We start from the raw sequence: 15,126 nt of genomic DNA, 5'->3' as shown, positions 1-15,126 counted from the left end.
GAAGCAGTGCCCAGTCTGGGTAAACAGCACTGGGGCTAACTGGGTCTGGCAGAAGGATCCACGCTGAGTGTGTGCGGAATCGTAATTCCAGTCCCATCACATTCTGCATTCTAAATTGTCAGATATTACCAGTTACTCCTGCCTCTGCTCCAGTTGTACTTCAAATATGTCCCTGGTCCCAGCTCTGTAGCTGGGACTGGCAGGCAAGGAGATCAGGTCTGGCTCTGCTTGGTCACTAGGAAGCCAGACTCTAAAACCAAGTCACCTCTGAGTTGAGGTTTTCAGATGACCAGAGTAGGGAGCTGATCCCTTGCACCAAAGCCATTAACCGGTTTCCAAATTTGGTCTGAGAGAGCCTGAAGCCGGCATTCTGCCAATGCAGGAAGCTAAGCTTGGGCCCTGGCTGGTGGCATTCAGCTTTGAGCCTGGGTCTTTCCCTTCAGTAACACCAGGTAGGTGTGAATTATGTTGAAACTAGTGGAAGCTGGGGTGGGGGTTCTTGAAGGGTAGGGAGGGGCTGGCGAGGGCCCTGCAGAAGGGAATGAAGGCTGCCACCAGCCGCCTCCACAGACATGGGAATGGCCACACACCCACATCATTCCTCCATCAGTCCTCTCCTGCCAGAAGGCATATACACTGTGCCCATGGGTCCCCATGGCCTTGTTTTCAAAAGAAGAAAGCAGCTGGCACCCAGAATGCCACTTGTACTCATCTTCAGCAGTCTAGCATTTATTTCATTAGTCCTTGAGGATTCATTAAATGATCTGCAAGAAAACCAAATGTCCCCACATCACAGGTTCTGTGCTCTACTCTCTGACCACTTCTCTGAGCTGAGGCAGCCTGCTTGGAGTATGGGCACCAGCATGGCTTAGCTACTTTTAAGATAAAAAGTGGAGGAAATAAATAGGTAGACTAGGTAAGGCAGAAGAGAAGGCTGGCACTTTGGGCCCTGACACTAGTGGGCACCCTGTGGTTCTGGGTGAGATGGAGGACACGGATGGGGTGGGGTGTGTGGTTGGACACAATGACCAGAGCTCTGGGTACCAAGCAGATCCCCATGTTTGAGATTCAAGGGCACAAAGGCCTGCTGTGAGGCACGTGAACAAATGCAGGACTGAGCTCCAGGAACGCACTCTCCCAACTGTACCCTCCTGTGCCAGTGACAGAAAACCAGGGAAAAACACCAAGTATTGTCAGAGACAAATGATGGGGGCAAGAGATTGGCGGAATTGGAGGTGGTTGACTACCGCTTGCTTCTAGAATCAAGGAGAAGCTGACCTAAATCAACCTGCTCTTCCACGGAATCAGTATTCTGAGACTGAACGCCACCTGACGGATGGATGACTAGCTGCAGTAAAGTCAGAGCAGAAGCCAGGGTGCTAGAGTCATCTGGGCAGTGTCTGGCTTCCTAACTAGATAAGTGGGTCGGGTCAATTGCAGAGCTGTGCTCTTCCAAAGTTGTCACCCATGAACCAGGACCCACAGGTGGAGCCTCTGAGGTGCCATGGGTTAGGCTTGTACACGACTCACCTGTGTGCGGGGCCAGGCCCCACCCCCCTCAACCACGGTGGAGCAGAGGGGGAAGGGAAAGGCATCTCACAGACACAGACATCTACACCCTCACTCTGGGGCAGCTTTAGGCCAAAAGCCAACAGAGCACAAAGGAGAGTGGGCACTTGGGAAATCGGTGCTTAAATTACCAGCCATCTTCTTGTCTCTAAACAGAGCCTACAGGCTTCAGCAGTGGAAGTCGTTTGTGAAGGTCTATAGCAGGGCATGAGGTGGTGTTAGGTCACCCTGAAGGCCAGCTTTTGACCCCGTTGTGGGAATCACGGCAAATGCCTTACTGGGCCCAGGTACACAGTGGTGCCCCCAGCCCCTTCCCCATGTACTCTGCACACTCAAAGGCAAGATGTCCCGTGCAGGGGTCTGACCCCAGAGGACCACATTTCCACATGCATCTCCCCTGGATCCACCCAGTGGCTGCTGAGCAGCCTCAGTCTCGACATAGATCCTTCTTGCAGGCAGCACCTGCTCCTCCGGAGTGCTGTACCTGGGGCCCCCATACCAGCATTCCAGCTGTGCAGCTCCAGCTGGGCAGTTCAGATCTTGGGCCTCCAGCCTTTGATGAACTGCATGATCTTCTTGACCTGCAGCTTGGTGAGGTGGAAGTCATCTGCCAGGATGTCCTCACTGAGCTGCACAAAGATGCTACCATCGATGCGTTCTCGGGCAAAGAAGCTCACCACATCCTCTGAGAGCCCGATGAAACGCAGACTGCGAGAGACCTCCTCCAGGGAGAGTGCAGACAGGTCAGCAGGGGGCTGCCAGGAGGAGGCATCTCGGACTCCAAAGCCTGTGGCTCCATCCCGGGGACTGGCAGGAGGCCCTTCCAGGCGCCCTTGGGTTAGAAAAAGTGCTCCTCCCGCCTCGGGTCCCTGCAGAGCAGCTGGTGACAGTGGGGTGGGGACCTGGTGCAGCACCAAACCTTCAGGCTCAAAGGCCTTGGAGGGGCCAAGTGGTGAAAGGCGGGGTCCAGGCCCAGGTGTCCCCACTGCTCTGGGCTCCTGAGAACGCAGCAGCTCAGGCTCTGGAGAACTGCCCTGCCCCAGCTCAAAGGGATCGAAGGGCTCCAGGACTGGTTCCTGCCATTCAGAAGAAGAGGAGGAGGAGGGGGCGCAGGAGGAGGGGGGAGCAGCTGAATAGGCCTGGCCTGGCGAGGCTGGGCCTGGGGAATACGCAGGGCCAGAGGTAGCCACAGGACCCGAGGTGGTTCTGGGCCCAGAAGACAAGGCCGCTGAAGGGCCTGAGGGGTAGGCAGGCCCGGAAAAAGGGTTGAGAGCTCCAAACGGAGCAAAGCGCTTCTGGGGATGTGAGGGCTTGAATAGAGGAGGGCAGCTGTGGTAGGTCTTAACAGGGGTGTCAGCCCCCAGAAGGGAGGCGGCTCGACCGCTCAGAGGCTCTGTGAGGGCCCGGGAGGCCTGGCTGGGCTGTGTGGTTGAGGGTAGGGGACCGGGGGCTGGGCGGCTAGAGGACTCGCCCACCTTGCAGTCTCCCCAGGTGCATGGGTAGCAATAGAGGGAGTAGGTGTCCGGCGATGGGGAGCCACTGCCACTGCGGGAACCCGCCCTGTGGACAGAGACAGACACACACACATAGGACAGGTGAGGCTGAGAGGGAATCCGATAGGGTCACACATGCATTGCAACCAAGCACCACTATGACCTCAGCAACACGGGCCTGCACCCCAGCCCCAGCCCAAGACCCTCCGGAATGGCCGTGTTCTTCCTTCCAGCATCCCCCAGCCCAGGTCAGAAAACACAGGGGAAAAATGAAACGAAACTGAAATTAATAAAAATATTTTCTTTCAATTTTTTTTCTTTTGAGATGGTGTTCTCGCTCTGTTGCCCAGGCTGGAGTGCAGTGGTGCAATCTTGGCTCACTGCAACCTCCACCTCCCGGGTTCAAGCGATTCTCCTGCCTCAGCTTCCCGAGTAGCTGGGATTACAGGCATGTGCCGTAATGCCCGGCTAATTTTTGTATTTTAGAAGACATGGAGTTTCGCCATGTTAGCCAGGCTGGTCTTGAACTCCTGACCTCAAGTGATTCACCCAACTCGGCCTCCCAAAGTGCTGGGATTACCGGCATCAGCCACCGCACCTGGCCTGAACTTAATCAAAATTTCAAAACAGCAAGGAGCTCTCTTCTCTCTATCCTGCAGCAAAGTCCCCACCTTGAGGGGACCAGGGCAATGCTCCCATCCGTTCCTCAACATTTAAGAGAGAAAGAAGCTGAAGTGGGCAGAACAGGCCACTGGGCCCCAGGCCCCAAGACACCCAGACAGCAGTGCCAATCCCTGAGCCACTGCACAGGGAGCTGCACCCTCGGGAATCTCCCAGGCCTCAAGACTTCCTCTTCCTCAGCACTGTAGTTCCCCCTCCTCACCCTTCCCTGCCTTGATCTACCTTAGAACTCAGGACCAAGGGAAGGCAGGGACTCACCCATCCTGGAGGCCAGAGGAGTAGTAGGAGAGGCTGGAGCTGGGGGAATGTACCGGCTGCAGCTTGGGGAAGCGAGGGGGAACCGGGGGGCTGCTGGAGAGCCGGCCGCTGCCATTGCCACCCCGGGGAGGCACTGGAGGGGCATTGAGCAGGCGGCACTCCTCCTTCACCTACAAGCAGAGGGCGGTGACTCCACCTCGACTCCAAACAGCTGGCACTCCTTATCTTCCCCTTCCCAAGCAGCTGGGCGAGGGGGCTGTCTGGGCCTGACATTTGCCCCACTTTGCCAATAGGCTGCCTTGCACCCCAACTGCTCATCCAGTCAGCCAGCCACCCCACCCTTCCTAGCCTTCCCAGCCTATCTCACGCACCCACACCCTGTCCCACAGCCTCCTTCCTGTTCCTTGGAAATCCATCATGGATGTTAAGAAAAAGAACACAAAGGTAGATCAAAACAGGTTAAGCAGACGTGCTCCCTCCTCAAGGAAAAGGAGAGAAAGCAGAGGACAAAGGAAAGCCGAAGGGACAGAGGGAAGGAAGCGTCTGCCACCTGCATCCCTCCCTACAAGTCGTGTACCCCAAAGAGGACTCCATGGGATGCTGACGGGTGTTACGGGCAGGGAGAAAATGTTCTGATAAACAGGATTCCTTAGTGCAGGACTTCTCAGAGCCTTTAATCTACCAATGCTCTGTGACTCCAATATGAGGAGGGAAAAAGGGCTGGGAATCATTCACAGCATTTCTAAGCTTACTTCGCCAAGGAACCTTCTTTTCACGCAACAACTTAAAGGACCCCTGTTCTGTGGTACCTTCTGGGTAACAGTGCTTCGGGGCTCCTCTCAAATCCTCTGAGGCTGGGGACCTACACGCATCTCTGTCCCACAGCTCTCCCGCCACCGCCCGCCCCAGTGCCCCTTACTACAAATGCTTTTGCCTGGCATGCCTCTGCCCTTTCCTTCTCCCCTTCCCCACCCCGCCGAGGAAGACACCTCGTCTGCCACATACTCCGGGGCCGGGGCCCAGGAGAACGGGCTTTGGGCCCTGGCTGGACCCGGGACTCGGCCCCCAGCGCGCTCACTCACCGCCTCGGATTTGGGAGGGACTGGAGGCGGCGGCGCTTCCGGCTCCCGACGCGGCGGTCCCGCGGCCCCGAAGGAGATGAGATCGAGCCCTGGGGGCGGCCGGACGAGGCCCTCGGGCCCCTGGTGCGCCCACAACTCCTCGTAGGGGATCTCGGCGGGCGGCGCGGCGGGCTCGGGCGCGGCTGCCCAGTCGGGGCTCACGTACTCCTGGTCGCCCTCGCCGGCGGGAGCCGGCGCTAGCGGGCCGGGGGCGCGGGCGAGCCCGGGGGCGCGCGGCGCGGGCAGGCAGAGGCGCGCGCGGCGCGGGCTGGCGCAGTCTTCGGCGAGCTCCGCTGGCGCCTCGCGCACGGCCGTGGAGTACTCGTCGGGGTCGAAGCGCTCGCGGCAGTAGGAGGCGCTGTCGCGCACCAGGCGCTCGACGCGCGGGTCCCCGGCCAGCAGGCCCTGCGGCAGCGCGAAGCGCGGCGTGTCCGTGAGCAGCAGGAAGTGCAGCGGCGCCGGGCCCTCGCGGCGCAGCGCCAGCCCCAGCACCACCGTCTTGGAGATGATGCTAACCAGCTTGTAGCAATGACCCTCCCGCACCGGGTGCAGGTCGTAGGGGTTGCGCGGCGGCCGGCTGGGCACCAGCACGTTCACCGGCAGCCTCACGCGCTCGATGATGGCGCGCACCGTGTGCTCGCCCTCTTGCATCTGCAGCTCCAGCGGGCTGCGAGTGCTGAAGCGGCCCTGGCACTGAAAGGGCAGGCTCAGGCTTTCGTTGGTGCGGTGGTTCATGCAGATGAGGCAGGGCATCTTGCCTTTGACCGGCCTGGCGCCCCCGCCGCCAGTGCCTCCCGCGGCCCCCGCGCTCGCTGGGCCGCCGCCGCCCACCCCGGCCAGCGCCCCGGCCCGGCCCAGCTTTCGCAGGAGGGTGGTGAAGCGCGAGCGCTCCTTGGTGGTCTTGGCGCACAGGATCTCCGCCTGGCCCATAAGAGTGAGCTCGTCGCCCGCATGCAGCGTGAAGTTGTACACCTCGCTGTCCTCGCTGAACTCGCCCGACACCACCTGGGGATCCCAGAGACAGGGCAGGGCCTTAGCCAGGTCCCAGGGAAAGCCACACGGCCAGCTCCCAGAGACTGGAAAGGGAAAACAGCCTTCCTCTTCCGCCCTCCCGGGGCTCGGACTAGATGGTAGGCCAGGAGATCCACGTTCATCCTGGAGAGACCACTAGCAGCTGTGCCACCTTAAATGAGTTGCCCCTCCACGCCTTAGCGACCATATCTGATAACTCTTACTTCGAAGAACTGCTGTAGGATTAAAAAGACTGTGCAGTGACATATTTTTCTTTTCTTCCCCACTACTTGGATCAGCAACATATTTTAAAGTATGCAGTAAATGGCGACTTTTATCATCATTGTCTTTACCATTTGGGCGATCATAATGCCCTACCCATCCAACAAGGCTAAGTGAAGAGAAATGAATTGATGGATAAGAAAAGGGTTTGTAAACAGAACAGCACTATCTGTACATAGCAGGGACTGCTTTTAGTTGTTTTTGTTTGTTTGTTTGTTTGTTTGAGACAGGGTCTTGCTCTGTCTCCCAGGCTGGAGGGCAGTGGCACATTCACAGCTCAGTGCAGCCTCAAACTCCTGGCAACAGTCCTCCCGCCTCAGCCTCCCAAGTAGCTAGGACTATAGATACGCACCACTATGCCCAGCTAATTTTTTAACATTTTTTGTAGAGACAGGGTCTCTCCATGTTGCCCAGGCTGGTCTCAAACTCCTGGCCTCAGTTGATCCTCCCTCCTCAGCCTCCCAAAGTGTTGGGATTACAGGCATGAGCCACTGCTCCCACCCCACAGCAGGGGTCTATTTACACTGCCTGCTCACCACAACCACCGCCTCTACAAGTGGGTGCTGGGGCAGCTAGGGACAGGTTGCCCTGAAAAGTCTCCAAGTCAGAACATGACCCTTCCAGACACCCGCTCCTGCTTCACTACCTTTCATAGGAAGTCCTTCAGCCCAGTGGGTCCTATTCCCCACCCTTCTGACATGGCTTGATTGTGCCAAAGACCCCTAAGGGGTCCCCAGGAGCCGCTCTCCTTCTTGGATCCTGAGGGCAACCTTCCAACCAGAGTCAGGGTTGCCCCTGAGGCAAGGAGTAGTGTGGGGACACCACACCTGGTGAGGGAGTGACTGACCTTGACGCTGAAGGTGATGGCTTCCATCACGAAGATGCGGTCAGGGAAGACACTGGCCACCTCCTCCACGCTGCTGAAGTACCTCACTGGCTCCCGCACATCCCGGGCCTGTTCCAGGAGCTTGAACTTCCCTGCATAGTGGGTGACAAAAGTTGCTGGAGTGGGCCTGCCTGCTGGGAGTCTAGCCTGCGTCCCAAGAGCCTTCATGGTCACTTGCTACCATAATCTCGGCCAGCCCCTCAGGAACTCAGGAGGGCCAAAGGGCAGGTTTCCACTGGCATGGGCTGAAGGGGGCTGGTCATCTGGCTCCAGCCTCAGCAAGGTGAGCACAGATCCCTAGCAACTATAGCCCAGCCCTCCCCCCATAGAGAGCCTGTGGGTATGCAGTGAGGCTAGCGGCTGCCTGCCCAGAGAAACCCAACTGCAAATAGCCCCAAACATGTGGACACAGCTGGCCTCTGATCAACTATCAGTGTGGTACCGGGATGCTGGCTCCTTGCTCTGTCCCAGCCTGACCTCTGACTTGCCGTGACAAGTTCCTTTCCCTCTCTGGGCCTCTGGGTCCTCATCTGAGGGGGTAGGGACAGATGATCATGGGCCCTACCTGGATCTGGCATCCTGTGCATCGCCCTGGGCTGCTGATCCGCATGGAGGTGGCACTGGGCCAACCAGGGCCTGGCCCAGCCCTTGAAGGCCCTGGGAGAACCACTCTGACCCCAGCTCTGTTCCCACACCCTGCCCTGGTCCAATATCCAATCCTACTCTCCCAGAGGCTCTGACCTGAACCCAGCAAAGCCACCTCCCTGAGAGTAGGCCTTCCCAACCTGCAGTCTGGGGCTGCGTGCTTTGCCAAGCTCAGCACATGCCCCTAGGAGACACAGACTTTACGGAAGTGATTGCCAGTCTGTGAAGCTGACATCCCTGTGTAAGCTCTCTCACCTCACTGGCCAGACACCTGTTATATGCATACCCACATGAGCACAAAACAAGCTCTGAGCCGCCCTGGCATCTGATGGATGGCCTCTTCTCAAGCTTTATACAGTAGGAAGAGAGCCATGAATAGGTGAGGGAACAAGTCGAGAGAAGACAAGGTGACTCTTTAGCCTCTGGGTGTTTTTTTTGAGACAGGGTCTTGCTGTCGCCCAGGCTGGAGTACAGTGGCATGATCACAACTCACTGCAGCTTCAACCTTCTGGGCTCAAGGGATCCTCCTGCCTCAGCCTCTCAAGTACCTGGGACCACAGGCATGTGCCACCATGCCTGGCTAATTTTTTATTTTTATTAGAGATGACGTCTCATGATGTTGCCCAGGCTGGTCTCAAACTCCTGGGCTCGAGCAATCCTCCTGCTATGGCCTCCCAAAGTGCTGGGATTACAGGTGTGAGCCACCGCGCTGGGCCTTCTTTAGCTTCTGAAGCCCCTGTGGTAGTTGCTTCTGTCACAGTTCATTCATTTAATTATTGCACAGATATTGATGGAGCACTCACTATGTGTCAGACACTATGGTAGGCCACACAGAGGGTACAAATCTGTGTAAAATACAGTCTGCCCTTAAAGAAATCCAGATATAATGGGTGAGACGATGAGTACCCAATGGTGGCAGGATGTGATAAGTGCTACAACAGACTTGTGACAAAAGAGTTACAAGACGGCTAGGTAGGCAAAACCTGCCTGGCGGAATCTGAGAGGATCACTGAGCTGCACCTTAAGAATCAAAGGGAATTCACAGAATGGGCATTCCCTGTGGAAGAAACACTGTAAACACAGACACAGAGACACAAAAGCAGACCACCTGCCCCAGATGGTGCGTGCCTGCAGGGAAGGACTTAGGGAGAGGGAGGACAGGAGGGGATGCAGACAGCAACTGGGATTTGAAAGGCTCTGAATGCCTTGCTAAAGCAGTAAAGCTTTATTCTGTACAACATGAGACCCACTGGAGTGTTTCGAGCAAAGAAATACCATGATCCAGGTTCAGCTCTATTAAAATAACCGGGAGACCAGTCAGGTAAACAAACCAGTAAGGGGTTCTGGAGAAGAGCTAGGGAATAGCAGAAACAGACCAAGAGATACTGGGAAGGGAGACCCAGCAGGCTTGGGTGACAGAAGAAGGGGGAGGTGGGGAAGGAAGGGACTCAGGATGATGTACTCAGGCCACCAGCCTGGTCAGAAATGGAGATGGCAGGCCAGGCACGGTGGCTCACGCTTGTAACCCAGCACTTTGGGAGGCCAAAGTGGGCAGATCACTTGAGGTCAGCAGTTTGAGACCAGCCTGGCCAACATGGTGAAACCCCATCTCTACTAAAAATACAAAAAACTCTCTGGGTGTGGTGGCACACACCTGTAGTCCCAGCTACTTGGGAGGCTGAGGCAGGGGAATCGCTTGAACCTGGAAGGCAGAGGTTGCAGTGAGCTGAGATCACACCACTGCTCTCCAGCCTGGGCAACAGAGCGAGACTCTGTCTCAAAAAAGAAAAGAAAAGAAAAGGAGATGGCAGAGCTGTTAACCAAAACTGGGAACCCAGAAGAAACATGTTGTGGGGCCAAGGCAGATCCTGGAGAGGCCAAGAAAGGGGCCTTCAGGTGGTGCTCCTAGGGTGGGTGCCACCAGTGAAATAGACTGGCCAGTGAAATAGACTGAAGGTCACCAGCCCACAGGTGGCAGCCTCGGCTGTGAGGCAAGTGAGATGGCTCAGGGAAGAGGAAGAGCAGGGGGCTTGACCCTTTGGGGATGTTCATCCCAGAAAAATGCCCACACTGTGCTCCTAGCATGAACACACACACAATTGTGTGTTCAGTGCTGGGGGTTCCTGGAGACCCCTAAACCCAGCGAGAGACCCAGATGAAGACACCCATGGTGCAGGGTTAGAGGAGCAGAGGTCAGGGCCTGAAGCATCATCACGGAGCAGGGAGAGAAATGAGAGCCCAGAACAAGGGGAAATGACTAGGAGAACGCTGGCGGGGGAGCCCCCAGGCCTGCCCTCCCCGCCCTGGGACCCTCCTGGGAAGAGGCCTCTGAAGTGCCACAGCCCTAGAGGGCAACAGAGGAAAAATGTGGAGGGGGGCAGGCAAGAAGCAGGGGTCTAGGACTTGGGAAGCAGGAACTGCAGGCACTGAGTAGCCTCCTCCCCTCACTCCCGCCTCCTCCCCCAAGTCCACACACAACCCCCACCCCCGCCCCTGCCCCAACCACAAGTAGCCAGGCAGGGAGCAATGCCCACTGCCCCCTGTGGGGCGACTTGGAGCCAAGTCAGGGCTGGAGCTGGGGGAGGATGTGGCAGGAAAGATCGATGTAACCATGGCATCCAGCACCATCCCCCTCCGCGGCAGCCTGAAGCCCAGCGCCGGTCATTACTGCGGGAGGAAGGAAGGGAGCCCTCCAGGGAGTGATGCTCTGGACCCTGGAAGCCTTTTCCTCCCCGCCAGCCCAGGGGCGGCTTCCTCTCCTGCCTCCCCCTGTATGGAACCTGAGGTCCCCCACGGCTCTAAGGACCTGCTCCATCCTGACCTGCCCCTCCTCCTTGTCCTTGCCCTCAGAGCACATGGCTGCCTCGCTCCTCCCTTCCAGCCCCAAGCACCTGAGGGCTGTGGCAGGGGATTGCTGACCACCCTTCTCCATGCCTGCCCCACAGCACACACTCAGTAAAGAACGTGGGTAAAAGCTCAGGCTTTGGAGTGCGACAAATCTGGCTGAATCCCACCCTGCCACTAGCCAGCTGTGTGACCTTGGGCAAATTATTTAATCTCTCTGGGCTTCGGATTTCCCGTCTGTAAAATGGAAACATCCTAGTTGGGCCAGAGGCGCATCTGCCAAATGCTGAGCAGGAAACAAGGCCAACACTGGGGAAGTGGCACCATGCTCAGGGAAGACGCCTGGCCCCTCCCGCAGGGCCAGGGGCGGGGGCTGGGACGGGGGACAGTACGGGGCCAGGCCAGGTCTCCCTGACTCCCGGAGCAGAGCGCCGCAGCCTGGAGACCGAGTCACCCCGCAGTGCCTTCAGCCCCACCCGGCGCGAGTCGCCGTCCTCCTCCCTCCACGGCCTTCCCCTCGGCTCTCTCCGCGGTCCGCAGCCGGCCACCCCCGCCCGCCCGAGCGCCATTATTAATTCATTAGGAGAAATCAGCGTGGAGCCCAGCCGTGCACTCAGCGCCTCCTCGTTAACCCGCCGGCCTTCGCCCTCCTAGGGGCCTCTGCCTCCGCCTCCGCCTCCTCCTCCCCTCCCCCGTGCGGGCGGACAGAAGCAGCCCCGCGAAAAGATGGGGCTGGGGCCGCGCCCCCCAAGACCACCACCCCTCCAAGACCACCACCGTACACAGGCACGCAGGGGCGCCAGAGAGATGGGAGGAAGAGCTAGGAGCCCCCGGACCCACGGTTCCCTGGGAGACTGTGCCTTGGGTTCCCAGAGTTTTAATGACACAACCAAAATGAAGTCCCTAAAGTCACGTTTTTTTCAGTGAGGGATTTTCCCAACCTTTCTTTTTCTCTTTTCTTTTTAATTTTTATTTATTTTAGAAACACCATCTTGCTCTGTCTCCCAGGCTGGAATGCAGGGGTACCATCATAACTCACTGTAGGCTCAACCTCCTGGACTAAAGGGATCCCCCCCACCTGGCTTCAGTATCCCCAGTAGCCAGACTACAGGCCTGCGCCACCACGCCTAGCTAATTTATTTGTTGTTGGGGGGGGGGGTTGTTTGTTTTTGTTTTTGTTTGTTCTCGCTATGTTGCCCAGGCTGGCCTGGAACTCCTGGCCTCAAAGGAGCCTCCTGTCTCAGCAAAGCACTAGGATTACATATAAGAGCCACTGCTCAGGCAACTTTTGCTTTTTTTATCCCAAGAAGACCTGGGACCTCCCCCTGAACCAAGCTTGGAAATTTCTAGCTTGAGCAGGCCCCCAGTGGGCTCCAAGCCCAAGATAGAACCCCAGGTCAGAAAGAAATCTGAGTGAGTTTCCACATCTTTTAAGGGTTTGGGGGGTGGAGTACACAGGTACCAACTTCACAGGCTGTAAAAGACAGAAGCCTCTGTAAAGGGCTCAGTCCTGTCCTCCTGGCTCAGGGAGACCCAGGGCCAGAGGAGGCAGGGGTACCTGTGAAGAAGCAATGGGACCTTCCCAGCCTTGGTGAGGGGGTTGTCAGGAGCAGCTGGGCACAGCAGTTAAAAACACAGAACTGGGCTGGGTTTGGTGGCTGACACCTGTAATTCCAGCACTTTGGGAGGCCAAGGCGGCCGGATCACTTGAGGTCAGGAGTTTGAGACCAGCCTGGCCAACATGGTGAAACCCTGTCTCTACTAAAAATACAAAAATTAGCAGAGAGTGGTGGCAGGCACCTGTAATCCCAGCTACTTGGTAGGCCGAGGCAGGAGAATCCCTTGAACCTCGGAGGCAGTGAGCCAAGATGGCGCCTCTCCTCTCCAGCCTGAGCAACAGAAAACACACACACACACACAGAACTGGGCCTGGCCCAGTGACTCACACCTATAATCCCAGCACTCTGGGAGACTGAGGCAGGAGGCTTCATTGAGACCAGGAGTTTGAGACCATCCTGGGCAACATAAGGAGACCATCTCTAAAAACACAAAAAATGAAATAAAAAACATGGCACTGGGCAAGCCACTGAAACTCCTGGAGCCTCAGTTTCCTGGTGAGTTAAATGGAGTTGACAAGACTTTCTCATCAGGTTGCCATGAGGATGAAATGGCAAAAATGTTCGGCCCAGCATATGGCATGCAGCACATGCTTAACACATGGCAGATGTGGGATCCGGGGCTCACACGGGGACGTCTCTGGGATGGGGCCACCAGACTCCCATCCCTCCCACACAGGGGACAGCAACCACACGCTCCTGGTGTAGTGCAGCAGACACCAGCCCTCAGTTGAGATACCTGGATCTGGCCAGGCTCTTCCTTTCCTAGATGTGTGACACGGGGCAAGTCACCTCCTCCCCCAAGCCTTCCGTTTCATCATCTGTAAAAGGAAGGGGCTGTACTCTGTTTTGGTAACAGAATCCTTTCTTCAAACAAAATCTTATTATATGTCAACGTCACGTATAAAACTAATAAAGGTAGTCCATTAGCATAATCTTTAGAAGTCTAAAATTTTTAATATTCACTTATAAAGTCAACCAATGGAAACAATAGGTTTAACGCAAAAATTGGGAAAAACAGGATCAGCGCGGAGAGGTGCAGCCATGTAACCAGCTTGGGCATTCGCTGGTTTCTGCGGTATTTGGTTGCGCGGTACAGAAAAGGTCCTGGCAGGACATGTTCTCTTGGAGGGTCTGCACAAAGATGGCTAAGCGTGGCAGCCGAAGGTATACCCTGAAGGCCTCTGATTAGGGTTAAGCTCTGATGTGTAGTAATTTAAGAGTGTGGGTATTTTTTAATCATTAGTTTCAAATCTACTTTAAAATAAAATGTGAATCAAAAAACCTGTGAGCCACCTCTCCAGAAACCCAGAGTGCCACAGAACAGAATGAAAACTGCTGGGCTCTGACTCCAACCCTAACCCTAATCACCGCCTCGCTAGTCCCAGCGTTCCCCCTACCCCTGGCCCCAGTCCCTCCTGCCTACACCCCCCTACAGGCTTTATGACATCTGTCCTGGCTGGACACACCTGGGTACTGCAGGGGGATGTCGATCTTGGGCCCGATGACATAGTGGCCCTCCTCCAGGGTATGAGCTGTCACCGTTGTCCACTGCCGGCAGGAGTGGATGAGCAGGATGTCTCGCTCACTGACGCCCTCGGCGTACTCCCCTGGGAAGGGGGAGGAGGACAGAGGATGAGGGGAAGGAAGACAGGACATTAGAAGGGGCAGAAAGAACAGATAGTGACGTCCTCACCAAGACCGCCCCCCTGAGGGACAGCTCCACACAATCCCTGTCCAGGTCAGCAAAGCTCAAGGGACAGGCGGGCTGCCAGCTGGGGCCTGGGGCTGTGGGGCTGGCTGTGAGCCTCTCAGGGCTGTGACTCCCGACGGGGCCCCTCGTTCATCAGTGGCTGGAATGCCTGCTGTCCCTGGCTCTGAGCTGGAGCAGGGGGAGCTCCCCATGGATGAGCCCAGACCAGCCCCTGCCCTCCAGGAGCCCTTAGGCCCCTGGGGAGGTGGGCAGAGATGTACCAGAGACTAGGCAAGTTTGAGGCACTGACTGGAGTATGTCTGGGGACCCGGAGGGCAGCAGTAGGCTCCAGCTGGGGGTGTGGTGGCGAAGGGAGACTTTATTGAGCAGGAGATGCTGGAGCTGTGCTTCCCAGTCAGGGCCTAGGCCCTGCAAGAAGGGCCCTACTGGGGCAGTGGAGAGGGCCCGGACGGGACTGTCCCTTATAAGGTCCCAGCTGTGAGAGCTCCCCCAGAGCCACGGGTCGCTCAGGTCAGGAGAATGACAGGGCTTAGAGCAGCTGATTACTGCCTCTCCCAAGGGCAGCCCTTCCTTTCCACCCACTGCCTTGTTCAGGGGACCTCGAAGGAGAGGGGGGGAGTCCCCAGAAACCCCCAACCCCATCTCAGAGAAGCCACCCACTGCCTTGTCAAGGGGACCTCGAAGGAGAGGGGGGAGTCCCCAGAAACCCCCAACCCCATCTCAGAGAAGCAGCTCCTTGACACCCCCTCCCCACGCCCCCTCATCCTCCCAGTTACAGGGGTGACGGCTGAGGGTTGGAGGGGTTGAGAGAGCAGGTTTAGAAGGCAGGAGTGGGAGGCCCAGCCCTGGGGCCTGGGGGAAGCTGCTCTGGGGCAGAGGTGTTGGGAGTTGGGAGGGGTCTGGGCCTGGAGGCGCCAACCCCAGCAACGGTTTCCAGGGGAGCAGGAGGGGCAGCCCAGCTTCCAGGAGGCAGAAGGGGCTGTGTCCGGGCTGCAGCTGGTGGGGA

At 57.2% G+C, this 15,126-nt stretch overlaps 1 protein-coding gene across 7 annotated transcripts in view, besides 5 other annotated features; it reads right to left on the bottom strand.

Annotated features, from left to right (window-relative positions):
• The window catches only part of GAREM2 (GRB2 associated regulator of MAPK1 subtype 2), a 31,217-nt gene that overhangs the window by 13,945 nt on the left and 2,146 nt on the right, over nt 1–15,126 (bottom strand). For 3 of the 7 annotated variants that reach the window (NM_001168241.2, XM_011532565.4, XM_011532564.3), the window contains 5 exons: nt 13,876–14,016; nt 7,263–7,393; nt 5,084–6,127; nt 4,002–4,171; nt 697–3,129 (listed from right to left, as the gene is read on the bottom strand). In NM_001168241.2, coding sequence (NP_001161713.1) covers nt 2,103–3,129; nt 4,002–4,171; nt 5,084–6,127; nt 7,263–7,393; nt 13,876–14,016 — 2,513 coding nt within the window. In that variant the 3' untranslated portion in view covers nt 697–2,102. Of the gene's footprint in view, nt 1–696; nt 3,130–4,001; nt 4,172–5,083; nt 6,128–7,262; nt 7,394–7,866; nt 9,645–13,145; nt 13,228–13,875; nt 14,017–15,126 lie in introns of those variants that run through there. The other 4 variants (XM_006711951.5, XM_011532566.3, NM_001191033.2 and 1 more) reach the window with 4 other exon arrangements.
• Nucleotides 5,319–5,558: a silencer, noted in NCBI's record as "silent region_11270". NCBI's record gives its function as "represses an Ori minimal core promoter by ATAC-STARR-seq in GM12878 lymphoblastoid cells {active_cell/tissue: GM12878}" and the evidence as "EXISTENCE:reporter gene assay evidence [ECO:0000049][PMID:35858748]".
• Nucleotides 10,119–11,034: an enhancer, noted in NCBI's record as "H3K4me1 hESC enhancer chr2:26402195-26403110 (GRCh37/hg19 assembly coordinates)". NCBI's record gives its function as "activates a minimal SCP1, AML or CMV promoter by ChIP-STARR-seq in primed H9 embryonic stem cells {active_cell/tissue: H9 hESC(primed)}" and the evidence as "EXISTENCE:reporter gene assay evidence [ECO:0000049][PMID:30033119]".
• Nucleotides 11,035–11,950: an enhancer, noted in NCBI's record as "H3K4me1 hESC enhancer chr2:26401279-26402194 (GRCh37/hg19 assembly coordinates)". NCBI's record gives its function as "activates a minimal SCP1, AML or CMV promoter by ChIP-STARR-seq in primed H9 embryonic stem cells {active_cell/tissue: H9 hESC(primed)}" and the evidence as "EXISTENCE:reporter gene assay evidence [ECO:0000049][PMID:30033119]".
• Nucleotides 11,195–11,314: a silencer, noted in NCBI's record as "silent region_11269". NCBI's record gives its function as "represses an Ori minimal core promoter by ATAC-STARR-seq in GM12878 lymphoblastoid cells {active_cell/tissue: GM12878}" and the evidence as "EXISTENCE:reporter gene assay evidence [ECO:0000049][PMID:35858748]".
• Nucleotides 14,272–14,810: an enhancer, noted in NCBI's record as "H3K4me1 hESC enhancer chr2:26398419-26398957 (GRCh37/hg19 assembly coordinates)". NCBI's record gives its function as "activates a minimal SCP1, AML or CMV promoter by ChIP-STARR-seq in naive H9 embryonic stem cells {active_cell/tissue: H9 hESC(naive)}" and the evidence as "EXISTENCE:reporter gene assay evidence [ECO:0000049][PMID:30033119]".

The sequence above is a fragment of the Homo sapiens genome, chromosome 2, assembly GCF_000001405.40.
Source record: "Homo sapiens chromosome 2, GRCh38.p14 Primary Assembly".
Lineage (NCBI taxonomy): Eukaryota > Metazoa > Chordata > Mammalia > Primates > Hominidae > Homo > Homo sapiens.
This window is presented reverse-complemented; position numbering and strand designations above follow the sequence as displayed.